General features: G+C 45.8%; 2 pseudogenes across 1 annotated transcript in view, besides 1 other annotated feature; both read left to right on the top strand.

The window, feature by feature from the left end:
* Positions 1 to 20,686, top strand: part of PDXDC2P-NPIPB14P (PDXDC2P-NPIPB14P readthrough, transcribed pseudogene) — an 89,652-nt pseudogene extending 68,966 nt beyond the window's left edge. The window contains exons 17-26 of the transcript NR_003610.1: positions 515 to 593; positions 757 to 914; positions 6,300 to 6,386; positions 6,775 to 7,027; positions 10,474 to 10,602; positions 14,226 to 14,325; positions 14,489 to 14,633; positions 18,871 to 18,906; positions 18,980 to 20,172; positions 20,251 to 20,686. The product of NR_003610.1 is annotated as a PDXDC2P-NPIPB14P readthrough, transcribed pseudogene (transcript). The remainder of the gene's footprint in view (positions 1 to 514; positions 594 to 756; positions 915 to 6,299; positions 6,387 to 6,774; positions 7,028 to 10,473; positions 10,603 to 14,225; positions 14,326 to 14,488; positions 14,634 to 18,870; positions 18,907 to 18,979; positions 20,173 to 20,250) is intronic.
* Positions 795 to 20,595, top strand: NPIPB14P (nuclear pore complex interacting protein family member B14, pseudogene; annotated as a pseudogene).
* Positions 11,470 to 11,670: a silencer, noted in NCBI's record as "peak2633 fragment used in MPRA reporter construct". NCBI's record gives its function as "represses an SCP1 promoter by STARR-seq MPRAs in K562 erythroleukemia cells {active_cell/tissue: K562}" and the evidence as "EXISTENCE:reporter gene assay evidence [ECO:0000049][PMID:32103011]".

Below are 20,691 nucleotides of genomic sequence, written 5' to 3'. Positions count from 1 at the left end.
GTACTTACACTCTAAGGTCACCTGGTTGCACTGTGGCCTCATCTGTGGCTCTGAAAATGAAGATTTGGAAGGAGATCATCACAGCTAATGTTAACAAGCCCCTCCTGTGTGCCAAATCATTCACCCCTCACCACAACCGAATGAGCTAAGGATTCTCATTATATATAGTTTATGGAGAGGGAAGTGCAGACATAAAGAGGTGAATTATCTTACCCAGATCACACAGCTGATAAGTGGTGGAGGCAGAATAGAATCTAAACAGTGTGGCTCCGGAGCCCACATGCATTGATTCGACAAGTGTTTATTGAGCACCTGCCACGGACAAGGCCTTGTGTGATTAAATAGGGTTATAATTAATAATATAAAAGTGAGAAATCACTAATGCTTTTTAGACTTAACATTTTCTTTTTTTGTAGGTTTCAGGCACAGAACTGTATATCCAATAATAGTGAAATGGATGCCACTAATTATGACAGAAATGATGATACATTTAAATGACTTGGATGTTTTGTAGGTATGATCTCGTGAAACCTTGAGAGAAACTGAATGAGGAATGAAACTATTGTTCCTGTTTCACACAGAAGAAAACTGAGGTGAAAAGGGGTAAAGTAATTTTGCATGGCATGAAGTAGAAATTCAAAGTACAGGAATTTGAACTTGGTTCTGTCCTTTTCTGAAGCCCTTGACCACTATAGACTCAAACATCACCTTGTTTTTCCACTCATTCAACACTTTTTTTTTTTAATTGTCTAATAGGTTGGCACTCATGATGAGCCCCTGTTCTCATTCTGCAAATGGTGAAGCTCTCTATCGTCCTGACCCCACAGTTCCTGTCCCATGACCAGGGCCCGCTCACCAAGGAGCTGCAGCAGCACGTAAAGTCAGTGACATGCCCATGCGAGTACCTGAGGAAGGTGAGTGAGTGCAGACAGATGGGGCCTGGTGCCCTTGAGCAGTTCCCAGGTCTCAGCTGCCACACATCTCACAGCGGGTGATGCTGGGGGAAGCTTACGCAGTCACAGTACTGGATTCTTCCTCTTTTTCTTTCCATACAAGTGGCTTAGGGATGGGGTAGAGTAGTTGACTTATTTGGATGAAAACCACTATCTTCTGTCAGAAACTCAAAAGGAATCATTGCTGGCATGGTAACCTAAAGAAAAACAACCAGACAAGTGCCCAACGACACTTAAAAAGGTTATTTATTATCTTGCCAAGTTTAGGCTGGGCATGGTGACTCATGCCTGTAATCCCAGCATTTTGGGAGGCTGAGGCTGGTGGATCACCTGAGGCCAGGACTTCGAGACCAGCCTGACCAATATGGCAAAACCTCGTCCCTACTAAAAATACAAAAATTAGCCGGGCATGGTGGTGTGAGCCTGTAGTCCCAGCTACTCAGGAGGCTGAGACAGGAGAATTGCTTAGATTCAGGAGGTGGAGGTTTTAGTGGGCCGAGATCACGCCATTGCACTCCACACTGTGCGACAGAGCGAGACTCTGTCAAAAAAAAAAAAAAAAAAATTATCCTGCAAAATTTGAAAAGGAAATTCAAATCAACAGCTTCTAAACTACTTTTTAACATGACTTATAATAAGAAATACATTCTATAGTACGTATATATGTTCTATAATTTTGAATAAAAGAATTAACCACATCACATTTATTTTACAACATGTAATACATATTTTTTATTCTCCTTCATTTGTTTTGAATGCTCTGTGCAGTCTACAAAAAGTCCAATAGTAATAATTAAATTAGTCATTAAGTTGAACATTATCTTGTCTTTTAAAATGATAATCTCAAAAATGATCTTTTATTTTTGAGATGTATATAGATACACACACACACACACACACACACACACACACACACACACATTTTGAGACAGAGTTTCACTCTGTCGCCCAGGCTGGAGTGCAATGGCACAATCTTGGCTCACTGCAACCTCCGTCTCCCGGGTTCAAGCGATTCCTCTGCCTCAGCCTCTGAGTAGCTGGGACTACAGGTGTGCGCCATCATGCCCAGCTAACTTTTGTATTCTTAGTAGAGATGGGGTTTCACCATATTGGCCAGGCTCGTGTCAACTCCTGACCTCGTGATCTGCCCACTGCGGCCTCCCAAAGTGCTGGGACTATAGGTGTGAGCCACTGCACCCGGTCCAAGATAAAATTATTTTAACAATATACTATGAAGGGAAAAACACTGGCTATGAAAGAATATGCATAGTTTTACCCTGTTTAAAAATAAAGATTGAAAGAATACATATGCAAATAAGTTTACTTTTATTTTTGGTAATACTTTACTGCATTGTCTGAATATTGACAATCAGTATGCATTATGAAGCTACATGGCTAACATTGTGTACTCACTGTGTGTGCCAGGCCCTGGGTTCAATGCTCTATATGCACTTATATTTCATTTAATTCTCTCTGCAACCTGAGATGGTATAGCCACCTCATTTTACAGAGTTGAAACTGAGGCTCAGAGACTGAAAGTTAAGCCTGAGGTTGCAGTCAATAAGAGGCAGAGCTGGAACTGAAACCTACGTGTGTCTGACCACCAGTTCATGTTCTGACGGCAGGCTAGTCTGCATCACAGAGTGTGGGGTAGATGGTGCATGCCTGCTAGGATGGGCTAGGTATCACTGTAGGTAAGAAACAGCCTCAAACGATGGAAATGTACACCACTGAAGGCTCTTTTCCTGCCCATGCTGCACATCCTCCATGGCTCTCCTGTGCCCTGTGCCCCACATGCCCTCATCCTGCCACGAGAATAAAGGAGCAGCCTCCATATGGGAGCTGTCAGCTGCTCTAAAAGATGAAGGAGAGGGTGGCCAGTCTCAATGGCTCCCAACTCTTTTGCCTCGAGGTGACACGCTTCACTTCCACTCACATCTCCTGGGTCAAAGCAAATCCCATGGGTACATCCACTTTCAAGTGGCCCAGGAGAGAACCTGAAATACTCGGTGGACTCCATTAAGGCCGTCAGATGGTGTCAGCCTGCATGGGAGACTGTGGAGGGGCAGAGGAGGAGAGTGGGGAACTGATGGGAAATGACAGGAGGACTAAGTCACCGCAGATTTGCTTTATCCTCAGCCAGGTGGAGTTTGTCCCAGAGCTGCACAAAATCATCACCAGCATGATGAAACAGAGTAGACTTCAGAAAAAGCAGTTTGGTCAGATGTAATCAGCAGTGAACTCAGAATCAACTGAGTGACATTGAGTCAGTAAATCTCTGACTGCCTCAGTTACCCTATATGATAGTTTTGAGGATGGGAACATTGAGAGAGTTGATTTGGAAGGATATCAAGAGTACAAATTCCAACAGTTTAGTTCCTTTAAGTGAAGTCCAGGCACTGTCTTTCCTGCAAGTCTCCTGTTCCTTTCAGATTGCACAGGTGAGAGTGCTCAGATTAGGGCTGGAGGTTGTAAACTATTGCTCCCACACTGACAGTGCCCCTGTGTCGTGCATGTATTCTGTGCATTTTCCTGTGCTAAACACTCTCCCAAAACATCGTGGGGCCTGATTCTTCCTCTTTGTTCCAATGGCCCTGGGTGACTCAAGTGCCCATTCAATGACCAGGACACAGAGGTCTTAGAGAGATGCTCCATGAGGCCCCAGGTGCGAGCCTGTACCCTGCCGGAGCATGAGGCAAGGGACAGGGCATCGTCTGTGGGGATAGTGGGGGTAGTGGGGGTAGTGGTCAGCCAGACTTGGTGACTCTACTTGCTCACCAGACGATCCTACACCTGCCACCTCCGATGGATCCACTGCCTCTGTGCCTGCCTGTACTGCCGATGCTCCAGTGGATAACTCAGCATCCCAGCCAAGGCCCAATGCCACTGAAGATGGACCTGCCCCCTGGGGACCCAGGAGTCCTACCACTCAGCTGTCCCCAGGAGTGCCCAGACCCTCATTCTTATCCAGGACCTAGGAGCCTTACCCCTGGCCTTCCCTCATCAGCCGTAAATGATGATTTACTGCTGTTACCATCATCACTGCCTTCAGTGACCAAGGGCCTTCCAAGGTGCCAGCTCTGGAACGAAGGATGCCCTTGGGAGGTGATGACACTCAGGTACACGGGTGCTCAACAGATTGCTTCCTCCTATCCTCAGACGGTCTTTGCATGCATGCAGCCGTTGGCTCTCCCATTGTATGGAAGGAAACCAGCCCAGGGTCACACAGCTGGTCAGCAGCAACGCAGCTGGTCTCAAATCTAAGGTGCCTGGCCATGCCTCCATGAGGGGGACCGCCTGCAAGGGAGGTTGATCCTGGCTTTGGGGAGCCTTTCCTGGGCTGCACGAATAACCTCCATTGTTTGAGGCCCCAAACTCTGCTCACATCTTCCTTTCTCTGTCTCTGCTTGGGCTATGATCGCGGTGACTCTAGCAACCCTTCATGGACATTATGGCACTCTCTGCCATTCACTTTTGGTCTAATCTGACTTCAACCCCCACTTAGTTGGTCTCTCCTTTTACAACCAATACAACCGAAATCTAGGGCTTCTTTTTTTTTTTTTTTTTGAGACAGAGTCTCATTCCATTCTGTCACCCAGGCTGGAGTGCAATGGTACGATCTCGGCTCACTGCAACCTCCGCCTCCCGGGTTCAAGGGATTGTCCTGCCTCAGCCTCCTGAGTAGCTGGGATTACAGGCGTGTGCCACCATGCCTGGCTAATTTTTGTATTTTTAGTAGAGACGGGGTTTCACCATGTTGGTCAGGCTGGTCTCGAACCCCTAACCTCGTGATCCGCCTGCCTCAGCCTCCCAAAGTGCTGGGATTACAGGCGTGAGCCACCATGCCCAGCCAAATCTAGGGCTGGAACATGGCTGCAGCATACAAATAGAATTGAATTCCATAGTTTTGTTCACCCCGTTTTTTGTTTGTTTGTTTGTAGTTGTTGCTGTTTTTGAGACAGAGTCTCACTCTGTCTCCTAGGCTGGAGTGCAGTGGTGCAATCTCAGCTCACTGCAAACTCTGCCTCCCAGGTTCAAACTATTCTCCTGCCTCAGCCTCCCAAGTAGGTGGGACTACAGGCGCCCACCACCACACCCACCTAATTTTTGTATTTTATTAGAGACAGGGTTTCACCATATTGGCCAGGCTGGTCTGGAACTCCCGACCTTGTGATCCACCCACCTCGGCCTCCCACAGTGGTGGGATTACAGGCGTGAGCCACCACACCCAGCCCGTTTTGTTTTTGTTTTGCTTGTTTCTTAGGGTTGTTTTTCTATTTATGGTAAAGGCATTGGCTTTCCATTTGTAGCATCAATAGAATATTTCTCATTTACAATAACCTTATGTGATAGTAAATGTAAAGGGATTTAAAGCAGTGGTTTTCAGCCGCCAGAGGCCTGAGTGAGTTTGGGCACACTCTGTGTGATCGGGCAGAAGGCCTGTGGGAAGTTTAGCTGAGGACAGGGCCAGGAAAGGTGATGGACAGTGGGGGTCCGTCCTGGTCACCAGGCCCCTGGGTCCTACCCACCTGCTTGGAGCTCCCCACCCATCACACATGATGCTGCCAAGCCCTCTGGGTATTGTGGGCGAATACCTTAGGAGAGAAGCTGATGAACTTTGTTTCTTGAAATGCACAGATTCCTTGGACGTCCCTGAGAGGTCAGTCATGAAAGTCAACTTGGTTTTCTCCCCCTCATTTGGGTTCAGAATTTAAAGTCCACACACACGGGCAGTAAGATGATATAGATAAGGACATCATCACTCGGTTTCGGATGTTAAGATGTCTAGGTGGGTTAGGGGTGATTTGAGATCACACAACCTTGTGCCACAAAGAGGAATTCCCAGGCCAGAGGGAGACATTTTATTGCCATGTTATGATCTTATCATTGAGTTTAAAGGCAATCTTGTTTCATTTTGGATTCTTTCTTATGTTTATATCTTATAAGGGCACTTTGAATTTCCAAGCAAATAATAATTTTGAATTAGCTTTTAATCATTGACTTCTAGCACAGTTATATGATCAGAAACATGCTGTGTGATTTGATTGCTCTCAAATATATTGAGATTTGCTGGAACAAAATAAGTCAGGTTAATTTTTGCAAATGTACCATGTATGCTTAAAATGAATGTATCTACATTTGTTCCTGAGATACAGGTTGATGGACGGATGGCTACATGGATGTGATGGAGATGGTTTACTATCGGGACCTTCCGCATCCTGCTGATGTTTTGTTGCTTAGGATATGAATGGCTGAGCGGAGGCTGTAAAACCTGGCACTCTGCTTGGGTATGAGGTTCTTCCTGCCATCCTGCCATCATTTGTTTTTTATGTTTTGTCGCCAAAGGTGACCTTGAGGAACCCTGGGAGCTCAGGAAGGAAGGAGCGCCCAGAAGCAGGGACAGGGAGCTGGTTGGGGAGGACCAGAAATCAGGTTTGTGAAGGTTCCAGAGAGGACCTGTCCTTGGGAGGAGCGTGGGGGACTGAGATGGGGGAGGGGTCATTGGAATGATGCGGGCGCTACTTGGCATTGTCCATTGTGAGGCACCACCGGGGTCATCAGGGATTGGTGGAGAGGGAGTATAAAGCCCCAGGGTTGCTAAGGGAGGGCCCAGACCGAAGAAGGTTTGGTGGAAAGGAGAACCTTTGTCTCCTTCTAATTGCTCCTAAGCCTCACGCTCCCTTGCCCTGCGTGTCCTGTTGCTTCCCTGATCTTCTACGTGACCTGTAGCTAAACCTTCCACCAGCGCTTGAGAACTTAATTTGAACTGGATCCTTTCCCAGACCGCTTTCTTCTCCTCCTCCTCCTCCTCCTCCTCCAGGTGCCCAACAGCCCCCTTCTCCTCCTTTCCCTTCCCTTACTTCCCCCCTTCCCCTCCCCTTCCCCTCCCCCTCCCCAACTCAGATCTGGCCCCGGTCCCATCCCCTTCCCTCCCCCCTGCCCTAAGCCACCTCCACCTCTGTCCTGGCTGCCTCAGGGCGCCCTGAAAGGACCAGGACATGCGGGTGCGGTGGCTGCGCTTTTGGCTCCTCTTCTGGCTCCTGCTGGGATTTATCAGCCATCAGCCCACCCCTGTGAGTAGACGCTGGACCCGCGGGGTTTCTTCCTTTTTACTGGGCTGTGTCAGGCGGCATGAAATTACACAGCTCAGGCCTGTAATCCCAGCACTTTAGGGGGCCGAGGTGGGCAGATCACTTGAGTCCAGGAGTTGAAGACTAGCCAGGGCATCATGGCGAAACCCCATCTCTACAAAAAATTCCAAAAAAGATTAGTCGGGCCTGGTGGTGCGTACCTGTTATCACAGTTACTGGAGAGGCTGAGGTGGGAGGATCGCTTGGGCCCAGGAGCTGGACGTTGCAGTGAGCCGAGATGGCCCCGCTGCACTCTTGTCTCTAACAAACAAAATGGACCAAAACAAAGTGAAATGTCATTTGATTTGTGTCATCTGGTTTGATGACTTTTTTTGTTTTTTTTTTTTAGACAGAGTCTCACTCTGTCGCCCAGGCTGGAGTGCAGTGGCAAGATCTCGGCTCACTGCAACCTCCGCTTCCAGGGTTCAAGCAATTGTCCTGCCTCAGCCTCCTGAGTAGCTCAGATTACAACGCCTGGCTAATTTTTGTATTTTTAGTAGAGACGGGGTTTCACCATGTTCGCCAGGATAGTCTCCATCTCTTGACCTCGTGATCCGCCTGCCTCGGCCTCCCAGTGCTGGGATTACAGGCGTGAACCATCGCGCCTGGCCAAAATATATAACCTTAAGTGTAAGTTTACTAACTTTGGAAAGTACATACACCAGCATAAACCGACCCCCTTTCAAGATCTACATTATTTTATTTATTTATTTATTTATTTGAGACAGTTTCTCCCTTGTTGTCCAGGCTGGAGTGCAATGGGGCAATATCAGCTCACCGCAACCGCTGCTTCCCAGGTTCGAGCGATTCTCCTGCCTCAGCCTCCCGAGTGGCTGGGATTACAGACATGTGCCACCACTCCCAGCTAATTTTGTATTTTTAGTAGAGATAGGGTTTCTCCATGTTGGTCAGGCTGGTATTGAACTCCCGACCTCAGATGATCCGCCCGCCTCGGCCTCCCAAAGTGTTGGGATTACAGGCGTGAACCACCGTGCCCAGCCAAGATCTACACTATTATGTCACCCCAGAAAGTGAACTCTCACTCTTCCCAGCCAGTCTCTTTCTTATCATAGGTTAGCTTGCTTATTCTGGAATTTCGCGTATACAGATGCATGCCATGCCATAGGTACTCTTTTGTGTCTGCTTTATTCTGCTCAACACCATGTTTCTGAAATCATTACCATTGTTGTATGGTTCTCTAACTCCATCATTTCCATTTCAGACTCACGAGTTCAACCAGTTGAAGGGCTATCTCTGTTTAATTCACCATCTTGAAAGAAACATTTAAAATTGAGATGTTTTCAAGAATATATAGTTAAATCCTGAGGAATCGATGTAGAAATGTTATCACAAGCTGTCTGAACTTACTCAGAGGAAGTCTTCGTCTTCACTCACATAAGAGTCTAATGGAATTAATATCAACAATCTTAGAGAAATCCCACACTATTCATGCCATTTTCATGATCTCCACCTTGGTAATTTTTTTTTTTTTGAGACAGAGTCTCGCTCTGTCACCCAGGCTGAAGTGCAGTGGTGCGATCTAAGCTCACTGCAACCTCTGCCTCCCGGGTTCAAGTGATTCTTCTGCCTCAGCCTCCCAAGTAGCTGGAACTATAGGTGCGTGCCACCATGCCCTGCTAATTTTTTGTAATTTTAGTAGAGATGGGTTTCACCGTGTTAGCTAGGATGGTCTCAGTCTCCTGATCTCGTGGTCCACCCACCTCGGCTTCCCAAAGTGCTGGGATTGCAGGCGTGAGCCACCACGCCTGGCCCAGCTTGTTAATTTTTAAGCACTAAAATTTGATACTTATTTGTGAATGAAGTAATCTCTTCATTGTATTTTTTTTTTTTTTTACTTATGCTGAGCTTTAAATGACAAAGATTCATATAATCCAAAAGAGAAGTATTATTTAGAGGGATTCTTTTACCATGTGATATATAATAAATGCATCCAATGTTATACATCAATTTAAAAAACAAGTAAATAACTTAAAAGATAACTACTGGCCAGGCGCAGTGGCTCACACCTGTATTCCCAGCACTTTGGGAGGCCGAGGCAGGTGGATCATGAGGTCAGGAGTTGGAGACCAGCCTGGCCAAGATGGTGAAACCCTGTTTCTACTAAAAATACAAAAATTAGCCGAGCGCGGTGGCAGGCGACTGTAATCCCAGTTACTCAGTAGCTGAGGCAGGAGAATCGCTTGAACCCGGGAGGCGGAGGTTGCAGTGAGCTGAAATCATGCCACTGCAATCTAGCCTGGGTGACAGAGCAAGATTTTGTCTCAAAACAAAAAGAAAAGAAAAGATAATTACATTATACTTAGCTTGTCTTACCCATGAGTGACGGGCTGCATGTGGCCCAGGACAGTTTTGAATGCAGTTCAACACAAATTTGTAAACTTTCTTAAAACATTAGGAGATTTTGGCCAGGTACAGTGGCTCATGCCTGTAATCCCAGCACTTTGGGAGGCTGAGGTGGGCAGATTACCTGAGGTCAGGAGTTTGAGACCACCCTGGCCAACATGGCAAAACCCCATCTCCACAAAAAATACAAAAATTTGCTGAGTGCATTGTCAGGCACCTGTACTCCCAGCTACTCAGGAGGCTGAGGCAGGAGAGTCACTTGAACCTGAGAGGCAGAGGTTGCAGTGAGCCGAGAGCGCACCACTGCACTCCAGCCTGGGTGACAGAGTGAGACCCCATCTCAAAAACAACAAACAAAAACAAAAAAATGGCTGGGCACGGTGGCTCACACCTGTAATCCCAGCACTTTGGGAGGCTGAGGCAGGCAGATCGCCTGTCAGGAGTTCAAGGCCAGACTGGCCAACATGGTGAAACCTCATCTCTACTAAAAATACAAAAATTAGTCGAGCCTGGTGGCAGAGACCTGTAATCTCAGCTACTCGGGAGGCTGAGGGAGGAGAATGGCTTGAGCCCAGGAGCTGGAGGTTGCAGTGAGCCGAGATTGCACCACTGCACTCCAGCCTGGGCGACTGAGTGGAGCGGAACTCTGTCTCCAAAAAAAAAAAAAAAAAAAGTTTTTTTTTTTAGATCATCAGCTATTGTTAGTGTTAGTGTATGTTATGTGTGGCTCAAGACAACTTTGCTTCTTTTACTATAGGCAGGGAAGTGAAAAGATTGGATATCCCTGCTTTATACCAAGAAAGACAACACCCCACATTTGCAATGCCTAAAAACACTACCAGCCATCTGAAAAACATGAGACTTCTAACTTCTGTTCTTTTTTGTAGCAGTGGAATCCCACGGTGATATCTGAGGGATGTGGTTACCTTTTGGAGGAGGTTGACGGTTTCTAAGGATGATTCTTTCTGAGTGAAATATTGTCGGTGTCATTGACCTTTTCATTATTTCAACTATTATTATTCCAGGTTATCAATACTCTGGCTGACCATCGTCATCGTGAGACTGACTTTGGTGGAAGTCCTTGGATAATTATCATTATTGTGTTTCTGGGACGTTACAAATTTACCATTCTCTTCTGCACAATTTACCTTTGTGTGAGTATACTAACTTTCTGTAGAGGTATACTTGTAATCACAAATAAGAATAAATTATATAAAACAATTCACGTTTCTGGACTTCATTATGAATATGTGGTTTTACCCAAAAAATCAGGGAAATGATTTATTAGCATAAGAATTATGAAAATATCTGCCATTTACATTATGAAAATTAAATAGGTCGGTGTTTGTTTAATAGAATGTCAACAGAGCTTTTGGTCAAAAATAAGTTTTTTTAACCTTTGTACTATTTATCACAAATGGAGTATGAGGTTTCGTCACTTAAATAGGAAATTCTTTCTAAACTCTTCTGCTTTATAGTTCTATCGTATGGGTGGAAGGAAAGCTTCCAATCTCCTTTCGGAAGATTCACTGCAGAAATGAGCTGACAACAGACAGCTTAACAGGAAAAGAAAAACATAGAACAGGCATAAACATGGGAACCAGCTGAAAAATGAGACTGCTAGAAGGGCCGGATGGTTGATGCTTAAAGAGCACCCTCTTCTGAGGGGAGAGGGAGATAGATGGAGATGTAGGCCATTTAGAGGGGTAGCAAATGATTTTTAGGGGAAATGAAAGAGCCCAAGGAACAAACAATTGGCCTGAGACAAAGTTCCTCTGAGGTCATAGGGACGAGGTGACAAACTGCCGGAAGGTGAAGGGCAGAACTGCACTGCATCTCACGATGCAGAGAAAGCCCCAGAGAATCTCTTAGAACTGCCCTCCAAGAGAATCAATGAAAAGTGTGTCTGGGCAGGGTAATTTTGAATGACATCATTCAAAGTGCATGTTCCCACTTGCAACTGGAGAGAGATCAGTATGTCAAAAGTCTGTACTTGGTAAGAATTTGGCTGCTAAGTTGTGCCATAATTTGTCTTTTGAGTCTTTTTTCCTTTGGGTAAGTTGAGCTCTACATTTTGTCTTGTCATTCATGACAGTAAAAATGTGGTTGTCTGGGGGCTGAACCTCCTTTTGAACAATGATCCAAGATAAAAGTACTAATACCACAATGCTTTTTTATATTCAAGGGAAGAGGAAGTATGTTTCAGTTTTACCACCTAGATAATTATACGTCATTTGGCACTGCCTTTCAAGATATGTAGAAAACAGAAAATATATGAGTTATGAAGATATCTAGGCAAATTTAACATTCTCTATGCCACTTAGTCCTGAACAGAGAATTTTCGGTATAAATTGGAGGAAGCTTTTTTTTTTTTTTTTTTTTCTTACCCCCGAGACAAGTCTCCCTCTGTTGCCCAGGCTGGAGTATAATGGTGTGATCTCGGCTCACTGCAACCTCCACCTCCTGGCTTCAAGCGATTCCCCTGCCTCAGCCTCTCAAGTAGCTGGGATTACAGGTGCCCACCACCATGCCCAGCAAATTTTTGTATTTTTAGTAGAGTCGGGGTTTTACCATGTTGGCCAGGCTAGTCTCAAAACCCGACCTCAAATGATCCACCCGCCTCAGCCTCCCAAAGTGCTGGGATTACAAGCGTGAGCCACCACGTGAGCCAGGGGAAGTTTTTAAATTTACCACTTTTTAACAATTCCATTTAGGAAAGTTCAGCTGAGCTGTTGGACTTGGACAACTTCGCACCTCTCTTCTTTGTCCTTGTCATCTAGTCATCTATACCATTACCTCCTAAGCAGGGACATCATGGGTGCCATGAAGCATTCATGCGTGATGGCATTTCTTTGCTTCTCATTTCTTCATGTGTTTGACATTTCTCCTATCTCCAAACTGGGCCAGCTACCTTTCCTATGAAATCTAGCAGTAGCTGTGGGATAGATGTGGTTGCCCTTTCATCTTTTTAGATTACCCATTGCTTCTCTCGAAATCCTAGTACATGATTTTTTTTTTTATCCTATGTGCAGAAATCAGGAAAAAAAAATTCTACAAAGATTTTGAAAGATATTATTTCAGGCCAGGTGTGGTGGCTCATGTCTGTAATCCCAGCACTTTGGGAGGCTGAGACAGGTGGATCACTTGAGGTCAGGAGTTCAAGACCAGGTGGGCCAACATGGTGAAACCCCATCTCTAATAAAAAGACAAAAATTAGCCAGGCATGGTAGCAGGCACCTGTAATCCCAGCTACTTGGGAGGCCGAGGCACAAGAATCGCTTGAATCTGGGAGGTGGAGGTTGCCATGAGCCAAGGTAGCGCCACTGCACTTCAGCATGGTTGAGAGTGACACTCTGTCTCAAGAAAAAAAAAAGTCATTTCAATGACTACCTCAGGAGATTCATAGGTATCTGACCCACATCTGAGATGGGATTTGCATTGCATTTTAGCTGTGATGAGAACAAATATTTAATATCTTAGAAGATTAAAAGCATACTGTGATAATATGGAAATCTTGGTGGGAATTCAGTCATTAGTGAGAATGTTTTGCGTTAAGTACAAACCAGCCTCAATGAAGCTGATGTGAGGGAAGGGAAAGTGAACTCTGAGTAGAGCAGGGACAGAAGGAAGATGCTCCAGTGTAGATCAGGAAGAAGCAGGGGGTGAAATGTTACAAATTCTAGAACTCAGAGAGCTGAAGGTAATTCCTTCCTTTTCAAGTTGTGAAACATGTTAACCTGTGGTAAAATACTTATGAGATGATAATTACCATCTAACCATGTTGAAGTGTACAGTTGAGTTGTGTGAAATATATTCGTGTCATTTTTTTCTTTTTTTGAGACGGAGTCTCACTCTGTCACCAGGCTGGAGTGCAGTGGTGGGATCTTGGCTCACTGCAACCTCTGCCTCCTGGGTTCAAGCAGTTCTCCTGCCTCAGCCTCCCGAGTAGCTGGGACTACAGGCGTGCATCACCATGCTCAGCTAATTTTTGTATTTTTAGTAGAGACGGGGTTTCACCATGTTGCCCAAAATGGTCTCCATCTCTTGACCTTGTGATTCTCCCGCCTCGGCCTCCCAAAGTGCTGGGATTACAGGCGTGAGCTACCGCACCTGGCCTTTTTTTTTTTTTTTTTTTTTTTTGAGACAGAGTTTCAATCTTGTTGCCCAGGTTGGAGTGCAATGGCACAATCTCAGCTCACCACAACCTTTTCCTGCTGGGTTCAAGTGATTCTCCTGCCTCAGCCTCCCAACTAGCTGGGATTACAGGCATGCACCACCATGCCTGGCTAATTTTGTATTTTTAGCAGAGACAGCGTTTCTCCATGTTGGTGAGGCTGGTCTCAAACTCCTGACCTCAGGTGATCCTCCTGCCTCGGCCTCCCAAAGTGCTGGGATTACAGGAGTGAGCCACCGTGCCAGCCTCATGTCATTCTTTTGTGTGTGTGTGTGTGTGTGTGTGTGTGTGTGTGTGTGAGACAGAGTCTCATTCTGTCGCTCAGGCTGGAGTGCAGTGGTGTGATCTCGGCTCACTGCAACCTCCGCCTCCCAGCTTCAAACGGTTCTCTGCCTCAGCCTCCCGAGTAGCTCGGATTACAGGCGCCCGCTGCCATGCCCAGCTAATTTTTGTATTTTTAGTAGAGACGGGGTTTCACCATCTTGGCCAGGCTGGTCTTGAACTCCTGACCCTGTGATCCACCTGCCTCGGCCTCCCAAATTAATGGGATTATACGCATGAGCCACCGTGCCCAGCCGTCATTCTTATATTATTATTTCCTAGGTGCCTTTCCTGAAGACTATCTTCTGGTCTCGAAATGGACATGATAGATCCAGGGATGTACAGCAGAGAGCTAGGAGGTCCAACCGCCGTAGACAGGAAGGTATGGCTCTGTTGGAGTCCCCATAGTGTGGAAATGAGTTTGCCCTGGAAAGGGAAAGAATAGCTTCTTGCCCTCAGGTTTCTCACCTTCTCCTCTCCTCACTCTCACCCAGGGCTGAGGTCCATTTGTATGCACACAAAGAAAAGAGTTTCTTCCTTTCCAGGAATTAAAATTGGCCTGGAAGACATCTGTACTTTATGGAAACAGGCGGAAACAAAAGTTCAAGCTAAAATCCGTAAGATGAAGGTCACAAAGAAAGTCAACCATCATTACAAAATCAATGGAAAGAGGAAGACCGCCAAAGAACAGTAAGATGTGCCTTGACACAAATACTGTTGTATGAACCATGTGCCAATCAAAGTAGACAACTGTAAAGTCCTTGAGAATATTTTCTACAATATTTGTGGCAAATTCAGTGGGTTCAAAATTGAGTTTGTCCTTTCTGCTTCATTAGTTTAAGCTGTATAATTCCTTTCCCTTCCTACATTCTTGTTTGTAATTTTTTTGGGGGAAGAGGAGTTGCTAGTACTGGCATTGGTTTTCCTTTCTCTCTCTCTTTTTTTTTTTTTTTTTTTTCCTGAGATGGAGCTTTGCTCTTGTTGCCCAGGCTGTAGTGCAATGGCACAATCTCAGCTCACTGCCTTTTGGGTTCAAGCAATTCTCCTGCTTCAGCCTCCCAAGTAGCTGGGATTACAGGTGCCCACCACCATGCCCAGCTAATTTTTGTATTTTTACTAGAGATGGGGTTTCACCATGTTGTCCAGGCTGGTCTCGAACTTCTGACCTCAGGTAATCCACCCGCCTCAGCCTCCCAAAGTGCTGGGATTAGAGGCGTGAGCCACCACACCCAGCCTTTTTTTTTTTTTTTAATTTTGAGATAGAGTCTCGCTCAGTCTCCCAGGCTGGAGTGCTATGGTGGAATCTTGGCTCGCTGCAACCTCTACCTCCCAGTTTGAAGCAATTCTGCCTCAGCTTCCTGAGTAGCTTGGATTACAGGTGTGTGCCACCATATTCGGCCAGTTTTTTTTTTTTTTTTTTGAGACAGAGTCTCTGTCACCCAGGCTAGAGTGCAGTGGCATGATCTTGGCTCACTGCAACCTCCGCCTCCCAGGTTCAAGCGATTCTTATCCCTCAGCCTCTTGAGTAGCTGGGACTACAGGCATATGCCACCATGCCCGGATAATTTTTGTATTTTTAGTAGAGGCGGGGTTTCACCATATTGGCCAAGCTGGTCTAGAACTCCTGACATCATGATCAGCACACCTCGGCCTCCCAATGTGCTGGGATTACAGGTGTGAGCCACTGTGCCCAGCCCAATTTTTGTATTTTTAGTAGAGACAGGGGTTCACCATGTTGGCCAGGCTAGTCTTGAACTCCTGACCTCAGGTGATCTGCCTACCTCATCCTCCCAGTGTGAGCCACCGCACCCAGCCTGGATTGTTGAATTCAATGCTTGGGTCACCTCCAGATTCATTTTCACAGTCTTTCATGTTTTGGTCATATTACATTGTTTTTTGCTGCCATATGACTGATCTCTTTTTGTTAAATGTGAGATACTTGTTAAAAAATATTTAGCAATGAATTGAGGCCTAGTAGCGTGTTATCTTGCTGCAGAAGAGATGGGAGTCTACTTCTGGGGGATGGTCAGGGGTCCTCCATACAGGCTGCAATTAAGGTCATCAGTGCAGGCTCAGTCCCTACAAAGGCCAGGGTATTTCCTGTCCACCTCTATTCTGATGTGTGACTCTTCTGGGTCTCAACCAGAGCCAGTGGACTTCAGTACGGGTCGCTTTCATTGGCAGACCCTCAGTCCACTTGTTTTCCATCTAATCCCACGCATGTGTGCAGAAGCTGCTCTGCTGCTTTGCATCTCAGTAGTTCCTTCTGGAATTCAGCAATGAAATCAGGGAAATGGGTTCCAAATGCAAGGCTGACTTTTGTCCTGGGTTGCCTTCTTCTCCATCTTCACCTCATGTCTGTTTACTGCCATGTTAGCAATTTGATGTATTCAATCATGGGTTTTATATTCTGTTTGGTGTCCCCCATTGTTCTCATCGGAGATCAGAAGCTTCAGATGCACTTATGTCAACTCAAGAGTAGAATGCTTCCTTAGCTTCCCTCCAGAGTCAGGTTTTGTGTTTCTAGTTTCCAAGTGCACAGCAGGAGTAGTGATGTCCTCACTGGCTTCTCATTTGCATTAAACTGTGAGCTTCTTTAGCGTGGGGACAGGACCCTGCTCCCATTGCATTCTCAGCACCTCACCACACACTCCTTGTTGGAGGCCACTCCAGACAGCATGTGCTGAAGGATGCTCTGTGGTCAGAAACAAGTTCATTAACTTTCCCTTTGAAGTGTTTTCGTCCCTGTTTCCTAGCGTTCTGGGAATTTTACACATCCTTCCTATAAAACCAAGTATCAGGTGAGATCCTTAGGATAAGGACCATGAATCAAGTGGTGTGAGGGCAACACAGCAAACTTACCCTTTTTAGGCCATTTCCTTTTTCTGCCCTCAATCTCTGTGAACTGAACCTTGTTAAAGTCAGTCAACACCAGGGTGGATGGTTTGCAGTTGTCACCTATTTTCAGGACATAACACCCTGACTTAGGAGCCATTCCGATCATTTCTAATTCAATAGATGTGCCCGGCATTCAGATTGCCTTTCCTCTCAACCAGGATCTTTCAAGTCGATGACAAGAGTTCCAGTCCTGAATCACGGCAAAGTGCAGTAGTGAACTGCGGGGTTAATGACACCATATTCTGGAAGGATCTCTCTATGGCTGATGGTCTCAGTTCCGGCATCAGCCTCTGACTGAGAATCAGGTCTCACACAGGAGGAGTCAGATGAGGAGCAATCCTCTGCTTCCGATGGAGTTAGTTGTGATGAGTTGGTGAGGTCTGGTTTTTCACACCGAACTAAAATGAACTTTCACTGTGTCAAGCACAAGACTGACCCCAGAGACACACATAGTTGCACCTCGTAGAAGCTTTTAATAGTCTTTATATTTACTAAAGAATAGGACTAACTATGGAACTATGAAGATGAGCTGGAAATGACAGGTGACTTGCCAGCAGGCCAGAGTGTGATTTTTTTTTTCTCCCTCAATGGGAGGTGTCCATTCTCCCTTCGGTTGTGAGAATCAGTTGGTTCATTTATGGGAAGGTTGCAGGGGGCATCTTTGAATCACAGCCTTCAGATGCCAGAAGGGCAGAGAGAATCCCACATGGGCTGGTGGATCATGTGTGTGCATTTCTCTCCCTTCTAACCTGAGGAAACTAAGCATGAAAGAATGTGAGCATGCAGAAAAGGAGAGGCAGGTATCAGAGGCAGAGGAAAATGGGAAATTGGATATGAAAGAAATACACACCTACAAGTGAGTTCAGAAACTGAACCCCACCCTCCTGGGAAACGCCCATTGGAGTGTTGTTTTTAACCTCTGTACAATGTTTAGACCCAGTAAATGCAGAAATAGAAACAAATGGTCAGAAGACATATCGTGAGAGAGAGAGAGAGAGTTCACAAAACAGAAAACAAAGTACCTTAATATTTACCAGTGACCAAAAGATGTGAAGCAGCAAAAGGTCTCCTGACCCCATTGCCAGCTAGACTGTGTAGAAACTCGGTTCATACCAGCCATTCTAGGGGTGGGGTGAGTTGTTGTCATCCTTAGGAAAGTGTGTTGTTGTAGGATCAACCACATCCTTCAAAAGGACTATGCCTGTTTATAAGCCCAGCTGTTTCTGCCCTGTGAAACACGGTAAGGATATTAATACAAAGAGAATACAGCTTTATGATAAAAGATGCTCAGTGAAGGATGAATTAGGGATATACTGAGAATGGGGAAGGAAACTATCATCTCAGAAGTCAGCAGGCAGTAAGCAAGAGGAGGAATCAATATAGCAACAGTTTGGATCAGACTGTACAGTTTTTTTTTGTTTTTCTGAGATGGAGTCTCGCTGTGTCACCCAGGCTGGAGTGCAATGACGTGATCCTGGCTCACTGCAACCTCCGCCTCCCAGGTTCAAGTGATTCCCCTGCCTCAGCCTCCCGAGTAGCTGGGATTACAGGTGCCTGCCACCACGCCCGGCTAATTTTTTGTATTTTTAGTAGAGACGGGGTTTCACCGTATTAGCCAGGATGGTCTCAATCTCCTGACCTCGTGATCCATCTGCCTCGCCCTCCCAGAGTGCTGGGACTACAGGCGTCAGCCACCGCGACCAGCTCAGACTGTACTCTTATAGCCCTCTGAAATACGTTTTCTAGGTAGAGATAGATTGTGTAAGGGTACAGTTATGAGGATAACAGAAACGTGGCAGATTATTTAAAATCATCCTGAAAGTGGTGCTTTATCTGATGAAAGTGATTGTAATCCATAGGAAAATGTTTCAACGTGCGCAAGAGTTGCGGTGGCGGGCAGAGGACTACCACAAATGCAAAGTAAGGAGCTTCCTCCCCGCAGTTGCAGGATAGTTCAGTGCTGATGCAGATGATGCCACCGCCCTTAGACTCTCTCAACATTCAATTTCTCATGTGTTGGCTTTTTCAGATCACCCCCTCTGCAAGAAAGCCTCTTTGCAACTGGGTAAGTTTGTTTGTTTTCCTTGCTTTTGGACAGTCTGCCAGGTCAGGACATGGATACATTTTTCTCCCTACAGCTCTGTGCTCAAGCCCTGCAGAGGGAGATGGCAGAGAGGAAGGCTGCCTACAAGCATCACAGTCCCATCCCTGTTGGTAACCGTGTTGTGCAAAAACACCTTCATCCCCACCCAGTGGGGCCCCTGATCTAATATTCAAAGTGTCAGAGGTTCCATATTTGTAATAGCAAATGGGCCCTGACTGTAAATTAGTGAAGAGTGAATGTAACTTATTACCCACAGGGACAATTCCAAATGAAGGCCTTAAATGATGCTCAGCTAAGCTGGTTCTTGTGTGGCCTCTGTACCTTCAAAAGCTGCCGAGTCCTATGATTACACGTGATGGGACTTGTACACTTGAAGTGAAACAGTTTTAAAACTTGCTTTGTTTAGAATTCCCACCTCATTTTTCCATGGACAAAAGTATTCTTTATGTCCTAGTGCACTTACAATTTGGTATTACCTGGGAGTGAAAAGAAATATTACAGCCATGCCTAACTGACTTCTTGAGGTAAGATTGTTCTGTCAGAAAACCCTCTCCCAGTTCCCCTGCAGCTCTTCAGGAATCCACATCTCTGCAGAGCTCTTTGTTCTCATGGGTGGCACCTCCAGAGTGAAGAAGATCCTTTATCAAGAAGGGAAACAGGGGAAATGAGAGGGTCCTGCAGGCAGAGCTGGAATCAACTTCCACTCTGCCTCTTGCAAGCTGTGTGACCCCGGGCACAATTTCTCCTTCCTCTGGAAACCTCTGTTTTCTTAGATTTGGAGCAGGGTGGTCACACTGACCTTGCAGAGTTCCGAGAATCAGAGACAGAACATAAAAGGCCTGGAAAACATTCTCCAAAAAGAAGCTGCAACATGTGTGGACAATGGGCTTTTCATGCCTCTCTTACTGTCTGTTGACCTGGTGCAAGAAACATGCTCTGGTGATGGCTGTGAGGGAGGAATGAGGATAGACATAGACACTCCTGTGTCTCAAACATGCCTCTTTATTACTCTGTTATGACTCTGTCTTCCCTGGGGCAGGACCCCAGCCTGCCTACATTTGCAGACAGACACAGTGGCATGTGGAGACAACAGTGTGTCCCAATGACTTTTCTTTACTCCCCAGCTGTCGGCAGTACTCAGTGGAAGGGTGATATTATGACACTGATACTGCTATTTTGAAACCTGGAGGATGGAAAGGTGCAAAAATCTATCACCAGCAACAGAAGGTGCAGACCGTGTTGGTGGCGGTAATTTTGTCCATCAAATGAATATGTGTGAAAACATTCCCTTCTTCGGCCCTACAGGTCAGAATGGCGGCAGCGGAGCATCGTCATTCTTCAGGATTGCCCTACTGGCCCTACCTCACAGCTGAAACTTTAAAAAACAGGATGGGCCGCCAGCCACCTCCTCCAACTCAACAACATTCTATAACTGATAACTCCCTGAGCCTCAAGACACCTCCCGAATGTCTTCTTATTCCCCTTCCACCCTCTCCTCTTCCACCCTCCGTGGATGATAATCTCAAGACTCCTCCCTTAGCTACTCAGGAGGCCGAGGCAGAAAAATCACTGAAACCCAAGAGGCAGAGGTTGAGTAAGCTGAGAACAGGTCATTGCACTCAAGCCTGGGCAATAAGAAGAAATCTGTGAGTGGAACAAAAGAAAAAAATCAAAAAACAAAACAAAACCCACACTCCAAAAACAAACTAACAAAGAATAAATAAATAATATAAAAATAAAATAAAT

This window comes from Homo sapiens, chromosome 16, assembly GCF_000001405.40.
Source record: "Homo sapiens chromosome 16, GRCh38.p14 Primary Assembly".
NCBI lineage: Eukaryota > Metazoa > Chordata > Mammalia > Primates > Hominidae > Homo > Homo sapiens.
Note: the sequence above shows the minus strand (reverse complement) of the source record. Positions and strands in the feature narration are given on the sequence as shown.